At 46.9% G+C, this 18,043-nt stretch overlaps 1 protein-coding gene across 3 annotated transcripts in view, besides 1 other annotated feature; it reads right to left on the bottom strand.

Annotated features, from left to right (window-relative positions):
- The window catches only part of TMOD1 (tropomodulin 1), a 100,564-nt gene that overhangs the window by 15,725 nt on the left and 66,796 nt on the right, over nt 1-18,043 (bottom strand). For all 3 annotated transcript variants that reach the window (NM_001166116.2, NM_003275.4, XM_047423825.1), the window contains one exon: nt 16,982-17,125. In NM_001166116.2, the coding sequence (NP_001159588.1) occupies nt 16,982-17,125 (144 nt within the window). The remainder of the gene's footprint in view (nt 1-16,981; nt 17,126-18,043) is intronic.
- Nucleotides 12,969-13,208: a silencer, noted in NCBI's record as "fragment chr9:100335093-100335332 (GRCh37/hg19 assembly coordinates)". NCBI's record gives its function as "represses an EF-1alpha promoter that drives an FKBP-Casp9 reporter gene in an ReSE screen in K562 erythroleukemia cells {active_cell/tissue: K562}" and the evidence as "EXISTENCE:reporter gene assay evidence [ECO:0000049][PMID:32094911]".

Below are 18,043 nucleotides of genomic sequence, written 5' to 3'. Positions count from 1 at the left end.
GAATGACTTTCACGAGCTGAGAGAAGAAGGCTTCAGACGATCAAATTACTCTGAGCTACGGGAGGACATTCAGACCAAAGGCAAAGAAGTTGAAAATTTTGAAAAAAATTTAGAAGAATGTATAACTAGAATAACCAATACAGAGAAGTGCTTAAAGGAGCTGATGGAGCTGAAAACCAAGGCTCGAGAACTACGTGAAGAATGCAGAAGCCTCAGGAGCCGATGCGATCAACTGGAAGAAAGGGTATCAGCAATGGAAGATGAAATGAATGAAATGAAGCAAGAAGGGAAGTTTAGAGAAAAAAGAATAAAAAGAAATGAGCAAAGCCTCCAAGAAATATGGGACCATGTGAAAAGACCAAATCTACGTCTGATTGGTGTACCTGAAAGTGATGGGGAGAATGGAACCAAGTTGGAAAACACTCTGCAGGATATTATCCAGGAGAACTTCTCCAATCTAGCAAGGCAGGCCAACATTCAGATTCAGGAAATACAGAGAATGCCACAAAGATACTCCTCGAGAAGAGCAACTCCAAGACACATAATTGTCAGATTCACCAAAGTTGAAATGAAGGAAAAAATGTTAAGGGCAGCCAGAGAGAAAGGTCAGGTTACCCACAAAGGGAAGCCCATCAGACTAACAGCGGATCTCTCGGCAGAAACCCTACAAGCCAGAAGAGAGTGGGGGCCAATATTCAACATTCTTAAAGAAAAGAATTTTCAACCCAGAATTTCATATCCAGCCAAACTAAGCTTCATAAGTGAAGGAGAAATAAAATCCTTTACAGACAAGCAAATGCTGAGAGATTTTGTCACCACCAGGCCTGCCTTACAAGAGCTCCTGAAGGAAGCACTAAACATGGAAAGGAACAACTGGTACCAGCCGCTGCAAAATCATGCCAAAATGTAAAGACCATCAAGACTAGGAAGAAACTGCATCAACTAACGAGCAAAATAACCAGCTAACATCATCATGACAGGATCAAATTCACACATAACAATATTAACTTTAAATGTAAATGGACTAAATGCTCTAATTAAAAGACACAGACTGGCAAATTGGATAAAGAGTCAAGACCTATCAGTGTGCTGTATTCAGGAAACCCATCTCACTTGCAGAGACACACATAGGCTCAAAATAAAAGGATGGAGGAAGATCTACCAAGCAAATGGAAAACAAAAAAAGGCAGGGGTTGTTGCAATCCTAGTCTCTGATAAAACAGACTTTAAACCAACAAAGCTCAAAAGAGACAAAGAAGGCCATTACATAATGGTAAAGGGATCAATTCAACAAGAAGAGCTAACTATCCTAAATATATATGCACCCAATACAGGAGCACCCAGATTCATAAAGCAAGTCCTGAGTGACCTACAGAGAGACTTAGACTCCCACACATTAATAATAGGAGACTTTAACACCCCACTGTCAACATTAGACAGATCAACGAGACAGAAAGTCAACAAGGATACCCAGGAATTGAACTCAGCTCTGCACCAGGCGGACCTAATAGACATCTACAGAACTCTCCACCCCAAATCAACAGAATATACATTTTTTTCAGCACCACACCACACCTATTCCAAAATTGACCACATACTGGGAAGTAAAGCTCTCCTCAGCAAATGTAAAAGAACAGAAATTATAACAAACTATCTCTCAGACCACAGTGCAATCAAACTAGAACTCAGGATTAAGAATCTCACTCAAAACTGCTCAACTGCATGGAAACTGAACAACCTGCTCCTGAATGACTACTGGGTACATAACGAAATGAAGGCAGAAATAAAGTTGTTCTTTGAAACAACGAGAACAAAGACACAAGATACCAGAATCTCTGGGACGCATTCAAAGCAGTGTGTAGAGGGAAATTTATAGCACTAAATGCCCACAAGAGAAAGCAGGAAAGATCCAAAATTGACACCCTAACATCACAATTAAAAGAACTAGAAAAGCAAGAGCAAACACATTCAAAAGCTAGCAGAAGGCAAGAAATAACTAAGATCAGAGCAGAACTGAAGGAAATAGAGACAAAAAAAACCCTTCAAAAAATTAATGAATCCAGGAGCTGGTTTTTTAAAAGGATCAACAAAATTGATAGACCGCTAGCAAGACTAATAAAGAAAAAAAGAGAGAAGAATCAAATAGACGCAATAAAAAATGATAAAGGGGATATCACCACCGATCCCACAGAAATACAAACTACCATCAGAGAATACTACAAACACCTCTACGCAAATAAACTAGAAAATCTAGAAGAAATGGATAAATTCCTGGACACATACACTCTCCCAAGACTAAACCAGGAAGAAGTTGAATCTCTGAATAGACCAATAACAGGAGCTGAAATTGTGGCAATAATCAATAGCTTACCAACCAAAAAGAGTCCAGGACCAGATGGATTCACAGCCGAATTCTACCAGAGGTACAAGGAGGAACTGGTACCATTCCTTCTGAAACTATTCCAATCAATAGAAAAAGACGGAATCCTCCCTAACTCATTTTATGAGGCCAGCATCATTCTGATACCAAAGCCAGGCAGAGACACAACAAAAAAAGAGAATTTTCGACCAATATCCTTGATGAACATTGATGCAAAAATCCTCAATAAAATACTGGCAAAACGAATCCAGCAGCACATCAAAAAGCTTATCCACCATGATCAAGTGGGCTTCATCCCTGGGATGCAAGGCTGGTTCAATATACACAAATCAATAAATGTAATCCAGCATATAAACAGAGCCAAAGACAAAAACCACATGATTATCTCAATAGATGCAGAAAAAGCCTTTGACAAAATTCAACAACCCTTCATGCTAAAAACTCTCAATAAATTAGGTATTGATGGGACATATTTCAAAATAATAAGAGCTACCTATGACAAACCCACAGCCAATATCATACTGAATGGGCAAAAACTGGAAGCATTCCCTTTGAAAACTGGCACAAGACAGGGATGCCCTCTCTCACCACTCGTATTCAACATAGTGTTGGAAGTTCTGGCCAGGGCAATTAGACAGGAGAAGGAAATAAAGGGTATTCAATTAGGAAAAGAAGAAGTCAAATTGTCCCTGTTTGCAGACGACATGATTGTATTTCTAGAAAACCCCATTGTCTCAGCCCAAAATCTCCTTAAGCTGATAAGCAACTTCAGCAAAGTCTCAGGATACAAAATCAATGTACAAAAATCACAAGCATTCTTATACACCAATAACAGACAAACAGAGAGCCAAATCATGAGTGAACTCCCATTCACAATTGCTTCAAAGAGAATAAAATACCTAGGAATCCAACTTACAAGGGATGTGAAGGACCTCTTCAAGGAGAACTACAAACCACTGCTCAAGGAAATAAAAGAGGATACAAACAAATGGAAGAACATTCCATGCTCATGGGTAGGAAGAATCAATATCGTGAAAATGGCCATACTGCCCAAGGTAATTTACAGATTCAATGCCATCCCCAACAAGCTACCAATGACTTTCTTCACAGAATTGGAAAAAACTACTTTAAAGTTCATATGGAACCAAAAAAGAGCCTGCATCGCCAAGTCAATCCTAAGCCAAAAGAACAAAGCTGGAGGCATCACACTACCTGACTTCAAACTATACTATAAGGCTACAGTAACCAAAACAGCATGGTACTGGTACCAAAACAGAGATATAGATCAATGGAACAGAACAGAGCCCTCAGAAATAACGCCACATATCTACAACTATCTGATCTTTGACAAACCTGAGAAAAACAAGCAATGGGGAAAGGATTCCCTATTTAATAAATGGTGCTGGGAAAACTGGCTAGCCATATGTAGAAAGCTGAAACTGGATCCCTTCCTTACACCTTCTACAAAAATCAATTCAAGATGGATTAAAGACTTAAACGTTAGACCTAAAACCATAAAAACCCTAGAAGAAAACCTAGGCTAAATTACCATTCAGGACATAGGCATGGGCAAGGACATCATGTCTAAAACACCAAAAGCAATGGCAACAAAAGACAAAATTGACAAATGGGATCTAATTAAACTAAAGAGCTTCTGCACAGCAAAAGAAACTACCATCAGAGTGAACAGGCAACCTACAAAATGGGAGAAAATTTTCGCAACCTACTCATCTGACAAAGGGCTAATATCCAGAATCTACAATGAACTCAAACAAATTTACAAGAAAAAAAACAAACAACCCCATCAAAAAGTGGGCGAAGGACATGAACAGACACTTCTCAAAAGAAGACATTTATGTAGCCAAAAAACACATGAAAAAATGCTCATCATCACTGGCCATCAGAGAAATGCAAATCAAAACCACAATGAGATACCATCTCACACCAGTTAGACTGGCGATCATTAAAAAGTCAGGAAACAACAGGTGCTGGAGAGGATGTGGAGAAATAGGAACACTTTTACACTGTTGGTGGGACTGTAAACTAGTTCAACCATTGTGGAAGTCAGTGTGGCGATTCCTCAGGGATCTAGAACTGGAAATACCATTTGACCCAGCCATCCCATCACTGGGTATATACCCAAAGGACTATAAATCATGCTGCTATAAAGACACCTGCACACGTATGTTTATTGCGGCATTATTCACAATCGCAAAGACTTGGAACCAACCCGAATGTCCATCTATGACAGACTGGATTAAGAAAATGTGGCACATATACACCATGGAATACTATGCAGCCATAAAAAATGATGAGTTCATGTCCTTTGTAGGGACATGGATGAAATTGGAAATCATCATTCTCAGTAAACTATCGCAAGAACAAAAAACCAAACACCGCATATTCTCACTCATAGGTGGGAATTGAACAATGAGATCACATGGACACAGGAAGGGGAACATCACACTCTGGGGACTGTTGTGGGGTGGGGGGAGGGGGGCGGGATAGCATCGGGAGATATACCTAATGCTAGATGACGAGTTAGTGGGTGCAGCGCACCAGCATGGCACATGTATACATATGTAACTAACCTGCACAATGTGCACATGTACCCTAAAACTTAAAGTATAATAAAAAAAAAGAAAAAAGAAATAAAATAAAATAAAAAAGAATTATGCCAAGTGAAAAAAAAAAAGCCAGTCCAAAATGGTTACATAATATATGATTTTCATTTAGATAACATTATATATATAACATTCTTTAAATGACAAAATATTAAAATGGAAAACAGGTTAGTGGTTGCCTGGGGTTAAGGAGGCAGAAGGAAGAGACAAGTGAACTTGGCTACAAAAGGGCAATATGAGAGATCCCTGTGATGGAAATATTTCGTATCTTGACCTTATAAATGTTACTATCCTTGCTGTGATACAAAACTACAGTTCCCACCTAAACTGCATAGAGTACAAGGGATCTCTCTGTTCCCTCCCTCCCTCCCTTCCTTCCCTCCTTCCTTCCTCTCTTTCTTTCTTTTCTGAGACAGAGTCTCACTCTGTTGCCCAGGCTGGAGTGTAGTGGTGCAATCTCGGCTCACTGCAGCCTCTGCCTCCCAGGTTCAAGTGATTCTCCTGACTCAGCCTCCCAAGTAGCTGGGACTACAAGCATGTGCCACCACACTCAGCTAATTTTTTGTGTTTTTAGTAGAGATGGGATTTCACTATGTTGGCCAGGCTGGTCTCGAACTCGGCCTCAAGTGATCCACCCGTCTTGGCCTCCCAAAGTGCTGGGATTACAGGTGTGAGCCACTGCACTCGGCTCCTCTGTATTATTTCTTACAACTGCATACTAGTCTGCAATTATCCCCAAATTTTAAAAGTTTAATAATAATAATTTAAAAACCAGAAATAGAAACCAAACAGAAATACACAACCACCTCTAATGGCTCCCCACTGCCAAGAACTGCTGCAATTTACTGTGTCCCAGGCCCTGCCTCGTGCCCCACTTGCATGATCTCAGCTCATTCCCTCACTAAGCCAACAGGACACAGCCCCATCTCCTCAGCCTGGTACTCAAGGCTCACAAATGACTCTTTGCTTTCCTTCTCTCTCTCCTTCCTTACTCGGCCTGTTTATCTCTGGCAGTCTGATAATGGTACCTGGTGCAGACAGAGATCTACTCCAAAAAGCTCATGTGCCTCCATGTGGAATGCTTTTAGCCTCCCTGTAAGTATATCCCTATTGCCTTAATATGCACTGCAAATTCCCCCTCCCCAAGAGGCTTTTCCTGATCCTGACCCCAGGAAATGATCTCTCCCCATTCCACACTCAAGTGCACATTGGATGTCCCTCCCTACACCTGGCAGAGTCCATCTGCCTTACTTGGGTCACCTGCCTCTATAGCTGTCTCACCAATTAGAACGGTATTGTCCAATACAGTAGCTACAGTAGCTACTAGCCACATGTTGCTCTATACATCTAAATAATTAAAATGAAAACGATGTATAGTTCATTTCCTCAGTCCTATTAGCCACATTTCTAGTGCTTGATAGCCACTGGTAGCCGGGCACAGTGGCTCACACCTATAATCCCAGCACTCTGGGAAGCTGAGGCAGGAGGATCACTTGAGACCAGGAGTTTGAGACCAACCTGGGCAGGCAACATAGAGAAAACTCGTCACTACAAAAACCAGCAAACAAATAGCCACTGGCTGGAGACTACCATGTTGGTTAATGCAGATATGGAACAGTTCCATCATCACAGGAAGTTCTATTGAACAGTGCTGCTGTAGACCATGAGCTCTCGGGTAGGACATAGTACCCAGTTTCTCTCGGTCGAGGTGTGCAGAATTGAATTGAATGGAGGAAACAGGAACATGCTTGGGAGGGATAGAGGCGACGTCAGCCCAGCATCCAAATGGACAAGCACGAATTGCAGCTGAGACTCTTGATTGAGAACTCCCCCCAGGTATTCTGAGTTCACCAGAGCTCATCTGGGTTCAGACTGGGCTCAGAAAGCTGGCCACGGCAGGCAGAGGGACACTGGTGAAATTCCACCGGCCCCTCTGGCAAGGCTCCTGAGAATGCTGGGAAGAGGTCAGGTCGGTCCTTGGAGGACTCAGCACAGCCCTGGAATCTGGCCGTTTTGGCCTGGAGATGGCACAGCAACCATCTGAGGCCCCAAGAAGGAACTGGCAGCTCCTCCACCCACCCTCCCCAGTTAGCAGGAACCCTGGCCTCTCCTTGAGGTCTCTTGCTGCAAATGCCCTGCTAAAACTCAGGATGGGCTAGTCTCAGAAAGTACTGGTCTCCCCTGAGTGAAGGGGCTACCAGGGACTTCGAGGACTGCCTCTGCAAAGCTGATGCTTCGTGCAGAGTACAAAGCCCCTTAACATGCATTGCCCCCATTCGACCTGTCTACATCCCTGGGAGGTGAGCAGGGCAGGCAGGAGCCAGCATCTGCATCTTAGAGATGAGTATACTGAATCCATGTGTAGATGGAAGTTGGACCATGCTCCCTCGGCTTATTCATGACAGAGCCAAGGCTTGACCTTGACCTGGGGCTGAAAGGACTGCCCCAGGTTCCTCTAGGCCCAGTTCTCACATTAGTGTCCAGTACCCTAGATACACACAGATGTGTCTGGGCATGTGCGACAAGGTACAGGATTCCATTAGATAATCATGATCTTCCAGGAGTGTTCATCTCAGAGCAAACCCATTCTTTTTACATTAAGGAGTAAAATAGAACACGTGCATACACCTTACAGTAAGCCTTAAGATGTCAAAGAAGCTTCGGCCGGGCACGGTGGCTCACGCCTGTAATCCCAGCACTTTGGGAGGCCGAGGCGGGCGGATCACGAGGTCAGGAGATCGAGACCATCCTGGCCAACATGGTAAACCCCATCTCTACTAAAAATACAAAAATTATCTGGGCATGGTGGAGCGCACCTGTAGTCCCAGTTACTTGGGAAGCTGAGGCAGGAGAATTGCTTGAACCAGGGAGGCGGAGTTTGCAGTGAGCTGAGATCATGCCACTGTACTCCAGCCTGGTGACAGAGTGAGACTCTGTCTCCAAAAAAAGAGATGTCAAAGAAGCTTCATACCTGCATCTTTCTCTGACTCCGGGGACCCTGAGACTAAAAGGACTCATTCATTTTATAGAAGAGAGAACCAGTGGCTGGGGAGCCACGACTAAAAACCAGTTCTCTGACTTATTTTTCAAGTAACTTATTTAGTGATTACTGCATGCTAAACAATGTCATAAACATTTTACAAAAGCTAATTCATTTTTTCCTATCAATCTAAGGAATTTTTCCTGTCAATCTAAGGAAAACTACTATCGTTATTTTCATTTTATTTTATTTTATGTTATTTTTTGAGATGGAGTCTTGTTCTGTCGCCCAGACTGGAGTGCATAGCACGATCTTGGCTTGCTGCAACCTCTGCCTTCTGGGTTCAAGCGATGCTCCTGCCTCAGCCTCCTGAGTAGCACCACCACGCCCAGCTAATTTTTGTATTTTTAGTAGAGATGGGGTTTTACCATGTTGGCCAGGCTGGTCTTGAACTCCTGACCTCAAGTGATCCACCCACCTCAGCCTCCCAAAGTGCTGGGTTACAGGCATGAGCCACTATGCCCATCCTCATTATTTTCATTTTATAGGCAAAAAAAATTGAAGCACAGAAGTATTAAGAAATTTTTCCCAAATCCTAGCATGGGTCAGTTGCAGGACCAGGATTTGAATACAGGCAGCGAGCTCTAGAGTCTGTGCTGGTTTCCACCTCACTTAAGTGCCTCTGAGAATGACCAGAAGGCAGAAGTAGGACTGACGAGAGGAACTACACGCAGATGGTGTTTGGCTCAGCATGGAGGAATGCCTCTGACCATTAGAAGTGTCCACACGCTGAGGAACTGCCTGGTAAGGTAGTGAGCTGCCTGTGCCTGAAAGTGTGTAAAGGGGGAGAGACCAAGGGGTTGGTCATGCCCGGACTGGCAACAGTCTCTGGGCAGCAGAGCCAGGGACAGGATGGTTGGGAAAGAACTCTCATACTCCTTCAGATTTGCTTGAGAAGTAAAAAACCACTTGTGAATAAATATAACCACATTATTAACAATTCATATGATATTAACACAGATTGAGTAAAAGGAAAGAGTCTCCCTCACCCGATTTATTCCCAGTCCCACCCCCTTCCGTAGAAGTAACCACCATGGGCCAGGCGCGATGGCTCACGCCTGTAATCCCAGCAATTTGGGAGGCCGAGGTGGGCGGATCACAAGGTCAGGAGATCGAGACCATCCTGGCTAACATGGTGAAACCCGGTCTCTACTAAAAAATACAAAAAAAAAAATTAGCTGGACGTGGTGGCGGGCACCTGTAGTCCCAGCTACTCGGGAGGCTGAGGTAGGAGAATGGCGTGAACCTGGGAGGCGGAGCTTGCAGTGAGCCGAGATCGTGCCACTGCACTCCAGCCTGGGCAACAGAGCAAGACTCCGTCTCAAAAAAAGAAAAAAAAAAAAAAGTAACCATCATGGCCAATGAGTTGTGTTTCTATGCATGAAGTATATGACAGAAATGTACAGGGATTTGTTTTGTTTTGTGGTACTTGTTTCTTGTTTAAATGAATTCATACTATACTTACTGTTCTGCAACTTGCCTTTTTCATTTTATTTTAATATTTATTTATTTATTTTTTTGGAGACTGTGTCTCACTCTGTTGCCCAGGCTAGAGTGCAGCAGCACAAAGCAGTGCAATCATAGCTCACTACAGCTTCTGACTCCTGGGCTCAAGTGATCCTCCTGCTCAGCCTCCCAAGTAGCTAGGACTACAGGCACGTGCCACCATGTCTGGCTAATTTCCTTTACTTTTTTTTACAGAGATGGGGTCTTGCTATGTTGACCAGGCTGGTCTTGAACTCCTGGTCTCTAGTGAGCTCCCTCCTTGGCCTCCCAAAGTGCTGGGATTACAGGCATGAGCTGTCATGCCTAGCCCACCTTTTTCATTTAATATTTTGCAGAGCTCTTTCAGAGTCAGTATGTAGAGAATGACCTTATTCCTTCTATTGGCTTCACGGGACGCCCTGGTGTAGATGGATATTTAGGTTACTTCTGTTTTTTCGTGTTACGAACAACGTGGCAGTGGCAGGGGAGGGAGGGGGTATTCCTCAGGCTTCCTACGGAAATCAAAACTGCTAGGTTGAAAGATAGGCGCTTTCAAATTAAAATTGAGACTGCTCTGACAAAAGGATGTAAAAGTCGGCATGCCCTTCAGCAGTGTGTGACAGCTGTGTGTCCTCACACCTTTACCATGTCAGAGCATTACCCATCAGATGAGAAAGAGATCAGATTTGCTCTTGAACAAAATTACCAACCAACACCTTAGGTGTTACAAGGTGTATCCTGGAGCCGGTGGCTCTGAGGCTCCCTTTCTGGCCAGACGCAACAGGAACATCAAGAATCTCACTTTGGACATTTGACGGAGCCAATTCTGGCCATTCCCAGATGATATGGACAACTGGGAATACTTCAAAACACAACAGAAAGGAGGCCTGGGAATTAGGTTATCCAACTCCAGAGTCCCAGACCCTAACTGACATTAAAATTCCCTCCATCTCCCAGCTGTTTACACACCCCCAGGATGGGAACTCCTCCCCCTTTGAGATACCTGCTCCATCCTGAGGTAGCTTTGCTAGTTATGTGTCCGGAATTGGTGGGTTCTTGGTCTCACTGACTGCAAGAATGAAGCCGCGGACCCTCGAGGTGAGTGTTATAGTTCTTAAAGGCGGTGTGTCCGGAGTTTGTTCCTTCTGATGTTCGGATGTGTTAGGAGTTTCTTCCTTCCGGTGGGTTTGTGGTCTCCTGGATCAGGAGTGAAGCTGCAGGCCTTCGCGGTGAGTGTTACAGCTCTTAAGGCGGAGCCTCTGGAGTTGTTTGTTCCTCCCAGTGGGTTCGTGGTCTCGATGGCTTCAGGAGTGAAGCTGCAGACCTTCGCGGTGAGTGTTACAACTCATAAAGGCAGTGTGGACCCAAAGAGTGAGCAGTGGCAAGATTTATGGCAAACAGAGAAAGAACAAAGTTTCCACAGTGCGGAAGTGGACCCGAGCGGGTTGCCACTGCGTTATCCGGCAGCCTGCTTTTATTCTCTTATCTGGCCCCACCCATATCCTGCTGATTGGTCCATTTTACAGAGAGCCGACTGGTCCATTTTATAGAGAGCTGGTTGGTCTGTTTTGACAGGGTGCTGACTGGTGCGTTTACAATCCCTGAGCTAGACACAAAAGTTCTCCACCTCCCCACTAGATTAGCTAGATACAGAGTGTGGACACAAAAGTTCTCCATGTCCCCACCAGAGTAGCTAGATACAGGTGTCAATTGGTGCATTTGCAAACCCTGAGCTAGACACAGGGTGCTGATTGGTGTGTTTACAAACCTTGAGCTAGATACAGAGTGCTGATTGGTGGATTTGCCATCCCTTAGCCAGACATAAAGATTCTCCAAGTCCCCACCAGACTCAGGAGCCCAGCTGGCTTCACCCAGTGGATCCTGCACCGGGGCCGCAGGTGGAGCTGCCTGCCAGTCCCGCGCCCTGCGCCCGCACTCCTCAGCCCTTGGGTGGTTGATGGGACTGGGCGCCGTGGAGCAGGGGGCGGCGCTTGTCGGGGAGGTTCGGGCCGCTCAGGAGACCACGGCGTGGGGGAAGCTCAGGCATGGCGGGCTGCAGGTCCCGAGCCCTGCCCCGTGGGGAGGCAGCTAAGGCCCGGCGAGAAGTCGAGCACAGCAGCTGCTGGCCCAGGTGCTAAGCCCCTCACTGCCCGGAGCCGGCGGGGTCGGCCGGCCGCTCCGAGTGCGGGGCCCGCCGAGAGCACGCCCACCCGGAACACGCGCTGGCCCGCAAGCGCCGCGCACAGCCCTGGTTCCCGCCGGCGCCTCTCCCTCCACACCTCCCCGCAAGCTGAGGGAGCCGGCTCTGGCCTTGCCCAGCCCAGAAAGGGGCTCCCACAGTGCAGCGGCGGGCTGAAGGGCTCCACAAGCGCGGCCAGAGTGGGCGCCAAGGCTGAGGAGGCGCCGAGAGCGAGGGAGGGCTGTGAGGGCTGCCAGCATGCTGTCACCTCTCAGTTACAGAGGTCTTTCTGGTCAACTCCTGTGACACAAAATAATATAGATAATTCTTACTGTGATGACTTAATATCTGCAAAATTCTTTGATCCTCCCCCCTCCAAAAAGTGGTGTCTGATTTCTCTCCCCTTGAGTGTGGGTTGTGCTTTGTGACTCACTTTTAATAAACAGAATATGGTGGAAATGACTTTGTGTAACTTCCGAGGCTGGGTCATAAAAGGCATCTGAGGCTTTCTTTTTTCTCTGACTTGGCTCACTCACTCTGGGAGAAGTTAGCTGCCATATTGTGAGGACACTCCAACAGCCCTAGGCCGGGTGCACACGGTAAGGTGCTGAGGTCTCCTGCCCACGCTGTGAGGGAGCCATGGTGGAAGCAGTTTCTCCACCTCAGATCATGCACTCTGGGCGAAGTCAGCCAGCCACACTGCTCCTGGATTCCTGGCCCTCAGAAATGGTGAGTTAATACATGTTTATTGTTTTATGCCAGGATTCTGAGGCTGTTTAAGTTGCTATATTTGGGGATAATTTGTTACACAGCTACAAAAAACTGATACAATCGCAACGTTGAGTAAAAAAAGCCAGACACAAATCATCCAATCTGGGAAAACAAGACAGCACAATCCATCTACTTTAACTTCTCTTCAAAATATTAAGCACATCCTCATTGTCAAATATTGGAATAAAAAGTGGGGAATCTGGCCACTACCCCAGACATTATACATATTCTCATTTGTGGGACTCACCCCAGGCCTTGTCTGGCCTGGGGAGCAGGGTCCCTGGTGCCCTGGGGGTCCTGGGGAAGAGCAGCTCTGTGGGGAGTTTGGAGAGTTTGGTGAGAGCAGCACAGAAGCCGTGTGTGGAGATGGCCTGCTTGGCCTGGGCCGGGCCTGCAGGCTCCCTCGGGGCCCACAGGGTTTCTCCCATCCATCCATCAGTGCAGCCAGGATACTGCAGCTCCAACCGAGCTCTGCCACTAACCTGGCCTGTGGCCTCAGGCTAGTCCCATCCCTTCTCTCATCCTCAGTTTCCCCGCTTGTGAAAGGAGGACTGGGCTAGATGTTGTCTCAGTGCCTTCTGGCTCTGGGGTCTGCTCTGCCCTTTCCCAATTCACCATGGTCTTGGCGCAACCACAGGTGGCAACAGAACATTGCTTGGAGATAGAGAGACTATTTGAGTCAACAAACAGCTTCAAAGTCCTGGTTCCCAAACTGTGTCCTGAGCCAGCTCCGTGTCACCCTGGGCAGAACTCCCCAAGTCCCTTTCCCTGGCCGTATAAGGAGAAAGAAGGACAGAGACTTGCTGCCACAGGTTATAAGCACAGGACTGAGGAAAAAGCTCCCGTCTCCAAGGACCTCGGTGACTAACCAGGAATGAGGAATAAAGGAATAAATCAAATGCCACTCGCCACCTCCTCTGTGTCACACTGCCCTGCCTCCCCCCAGCCTGGGGCTGGGGCACCTGAAGGGGAGGCACAGGTGGCCTCCTCCTGAGCCTGAGTCAGCAGAGCCCCCTCCCTGAGACCTGCCTTCAGCCCTTCCCCTGCCGGACCCAACTCCAGTTAGGCAGGAGCGCCTCCCCACAGCCCCCTGGTCCTGGAGGCCATAGCTCCTGGCTGATCTCCTGGGCCCTGATACCCTCTCCTTGCCCCCAGTCCCCTCCCATCCAGCCAGAACCATCTTCCCAGAGCACAGCACAGCCCACTTTCCCTAAACCTACCCATTCAAAGCTCTCCGACTCCTAACCCCCTTTCTGGCTTTCCTCTGGGGGTACCGTGAGCCTGTGTGGATGGGCTCCATGGCTTTCCCCACTCCTCTCTGCACCTGGGATGCCATGGCCTCCATGTCACCTGAGATACTTTTCACCCTGTGGGTGGGAAGTCAGGGTCTACCCAGCATCTACGGGTTTATCTCAAAATCTGCCTCCTCCAAGCAACCCTCCCTGATTGCTATTCCTGACTAAGACTGCTCCCTCTGATGGACCTCACAGCCCACTGTCTGGCTGCTGGAGCACCTGGTATGATGGTCATTTCTGCAACCATCTTTCCTCCCATCCAGTGAGGAAACTTCTGGAGGGTGGACCTGGAGCCTCAGTCCTGCACACAGCCCAGCACAGTCCTGGCAAGCAGCCAGCATTCATCAAAATGTCAAGATGAACCAAAGAAGAGGCTCACTGGATGGCGGGTGGTGCTGACCAGTGCTCAGGCCCCAGGCCAGAGGACAGATGAGAAAAGCCAGGCTGACATCACATGAAACCACAGCTGCTTCAAGAACCCAGACAGGCATAGCATTATACATGGACTCTGGAGTCACACAGACCTGGGTTTGAATCTTGCCCCTCTTGCTTCTTGTGTGGCCTTGGGCAGGTTGCATAGCCTGCCTGGCACTCCGTTTCCTCATCTGTGATACAGGGATGGGTTGTAATGCCACTTACAGAGTCTTTGTGAACATTAAATTAGATAATAGACACAAAGTACCCAGTATGGTTTTGGCACATGATACCTGCTCAGGAAATTAACTCTTAGAATAGCATGTGAATCCCCTAGTTCACCTTCCCAGTGATTCTAAAAGTTAACAACTTCAGAGTTTACATCTGTTATCTCCTTAGGAGCAGAGATTCTTATAATCCTCATTTTACAAGCCAGGAAACGGAGGCTCAGGGAAGTAAATGTTTTTGAACCAGGGTATTCAGCTAAGGTAAGGGCAATGGTTAGCATGGGCTCCATCTTGGACTCTGGGGGGATAGTGTGTGGAGGGAAGGGGCAACTCCCTGGCAGCTGCCACCACAGTGACCTGCTCCCAGTCCTCTTTTGCTGACATTCTGCCCTGGGAGTTAAGTTTCAGCTGACTCTGGGTAGACCCTGACTTCCTGCCAGGCCAGGCTGGGATTCACATGAGTAGCCAATCCCAGGGCCTGGCCCAGGGCCACTGCCAAGCCTGCTGCATGCCTTTGTTCCATCTGCTCTGCCCCTCTTGCCTCCAGTGGAGCACAGTCAGCAATGGCTAAGGGAGGGCGCAGAAGGGGTAGGGGTGGGGAGGGCCTGAGAATGAGCGAGGCAGCAGCAAGACCACCGGCATGCGAGAGATGCAAGGAGTCCAATGCAGGAAATGCACGTGACACGGCTGCTGCCAGCTCATGTGACTGCTTTATATAAATTAGAAAAAAGTGCCCTCTCTGGGTGAACAAAGCCCCATACTGAGGCACACAGCTTGGAGAGTGGATTCTGGGTTGAATTTTGCTCTCTGCTACCTCATTGTGCTGTGAACAATATGCACGACCATCCAGGGCAAACTTACTTACCAGGCACTCCTGAAGGGCCAGGTCCTGAGCTGGGCACTGAGATAAGGAGATGCCTCAGACATAGCACCAGCTTCTGGGAAGCTCAAGGGAAGCCAAGGTGCTAGGGGAGCCCAGAGGAAGAGGTATCTAACTCTCTTTGGGCAGAGGTTTGGAGGAGCTATGGCAGACTAGTGGGAGAAGACAGTAGTAACCTGGCTCTCAAAGAAAAAAAAAAAGCCCTGATGCATGGTGTGCCAATTTGCCAATTTCCATAGTGTAAATACTCCCACCTACCATGAGCAATTCAAGGCACCAATGTGCCATCGCTGGTCTCAGGAAGAGATATCCACAATCAGATCTTGCAAGCTGGTTCAAGCTGTCTCTAGAACACCACTAAGATAAAGTGAAACTTCAACTAAACCCAGAAGGCAGAGAAGAGGGTAGAGGCAGGGGAGGACATTCCATGAGGAGGGAAAGGCATGGAGGCATGAGAGTGGGGAGCAAGTTGTGAATGGTTTTGAAAGGGTTATGGTTGGGAAGGGACAAAGTCTTCTGGAGGTTGGTAATGTTTTCGTTTCTTGACCTGGACAGGGGTTACATGCCTGTTATGATTCCTTAAGCTGTGCATTTAAGTTTTATGCACTTTTCTGTATGTTTGCCATGTTTTACAATAAAAAAGTTAAAAACTTGTGATAGTCTCACTCAGGTATAACCACTGTTTAGAATTTTGTAATATTTCATTCCAATCTTTTTCCCATGCATACATTTATACAACCATTCAGCAAAAATTTTCATGTAGTGGAAAAAAAAAAACTGAGTCCCCATTCATAAAAAAGAAAGCATTTTAACATCAAAAGCAACATGCTGCAGTGGAATAAGTGTGAGTTTTAGAGTCAAAGAGACCTGGATTCAAATCCTGCTTCCTAAATGCTGACCCTATGGCCCTGAAAAAGGGGCTTATCTTTGGCCTGTCTGGACTATTTTCTGAAAACTGAGACTGATGATACCCACATTCTGTAGGGTTGTTGTGAAGATCAAAGATGATGGATGTAAGATGTGTATCTCAGAGCCTGGTCCACAGTACACTCTCAACACATGTAACATGTAAGATGTTGTTATTAGCATCCTCTTAGAAAGTCAGAGCTGAAAGAGTTGCCCCGCAGATAAAATGATTGACCCACAGAAGTTACAGAGAAACAGTAACTCCATAAGAATAAAGACAAACTAGAATTGCCTAGAGAGTAATGTGAATGGTGAGGAAATTCAAAAGCCGCATTGAATGGGGGTGAATGAAGAAAACTGGGAATTTTAACCTGGAGAAGGAGAGCTTAGTGGTCCATGAGATCTGTGCAACAGATGTCCTGAGTGAAGCAGAGAACAGAGCTAAGCCCAACAAACAGGACTTACGGGGAGCTGACTTCTACCGGATATAAGGAAGAATGTTCTCATTGCCTAAGAATGGAAGTGATGATGTTGGTAAGGAGTGTGTCCCCCATCATGAGAGGGACTCAATCAGAACTGGAAGAGCACGTAGTGGAAGCGATGAAGAAGGAAGGTGAGCGTGGTAGAGGGTGTGAACTTTAGGGACCTTGGAGGTCCCTCAAAGCTGGGCTCTGAGCTTCTATCATCAGCATTCTCAGCTCCATCCAGCAGCATGGGAAACACTGCAGGCCAGCGAGCTGCATGTAGTAACAGACCTGAGGAGACCGTTGCCCATCTCACCTGGTTGTCAATTTTCATTTCCACCAGAGAAGTGTTGTATGGGAGGGCTTCTACCAGGCGCAGAATCCCAGCTCCAGAAATGAAGTTGGATTCCACATTCAGTGTCTTCAACACCTTGTTCTCCTTGAGCATCTCAGCAAGGGCCTTGAAGCACAAGAGAAAGCAAGGATACCCATGAGTCACCCCGAGCAAGGCTGGAGGCCCCTCTGGGTAGATCCTAAGACACCTAGGGGAACAGGAGGATGATCTCCACCATGTCCTTCACCAAGCACAACTCTGACTGTGTCTCTCCTCTCCTGCAACCCGCCATGGCTCCTGATCCCCCACAGGAGAATTCTATGCTGCTTAGCCTACATGCAAAGCTTCTATGACCTGGGTCTACTCCCCTGTCCAGAATCAACTCTCACTGCTCCTCTTCAGTGGGGCTACTCGCAGCTCCCCATGCCTGCTCGGTGCTTTCCCACTTTGTCTCTGCCCTTTCTTTCCCTCCCACCTGGAATTCCCTTCCCTTTCTGCTTCCCTGTCCAAGCTCTACCCATCTTTCGAGGGCATTCTCAATGTCTCTTTCTCCAAGAACTCTTGCTGACATTCCCCAGCTAGCTGTAGCCTACCCTCTCAAATCCTCATAGAATGGAGCCATACTTCCCTCATTGTGGACCTTGGATTCCTCTGTTCAGAGTTGTTTTCATACTGGTGTTGTCTCTGCTATTAGACTATATACTCCTGGTGGGCTGAAAATGCATCCTATCTATCCCATGTTGGCCACAGTACCCAGCATATAATAGGCCCTCAGGCATTGTTCACTGAGTGACCAGTGGAGCCTCAACCTCCTGTACATACTCCCCACTTGTCTCTTTATTGCCCTGTGGAAATTCCATGGAGACATGGTTTTCTTCATCTGAGCACTACAGAGCAGAAGAGGGAAGCCTGGGAAACCACCCACTGGGCAAGTGACCAGGGCAAACTGGAGAAGAGGAGCTTAGGTGGCCCCTAGCACGTTTCAGAGGAACTCAGCCAGGGGGTGTAGATGACAATCAGAGCCTCTGAAGGAAATGAGATAAT

The sequence above is a fragment of the Homo sapiens genome, chromosome 9, assembly GCF_000001405.40.
Source record: "Homo sapiens chromosome 9, GRCh38.p14 Primary Assembly".
Lineage (NCBI taxonomy): Eukaryota > Metazoa > Chordata > Mammalia > Primates > Hominidae > Homo > Homo sapiens.
Note: the sequence above shows the minus strand (reverse complement) of the source record. Positions and strands in the feature narration are given on the sequence as shown.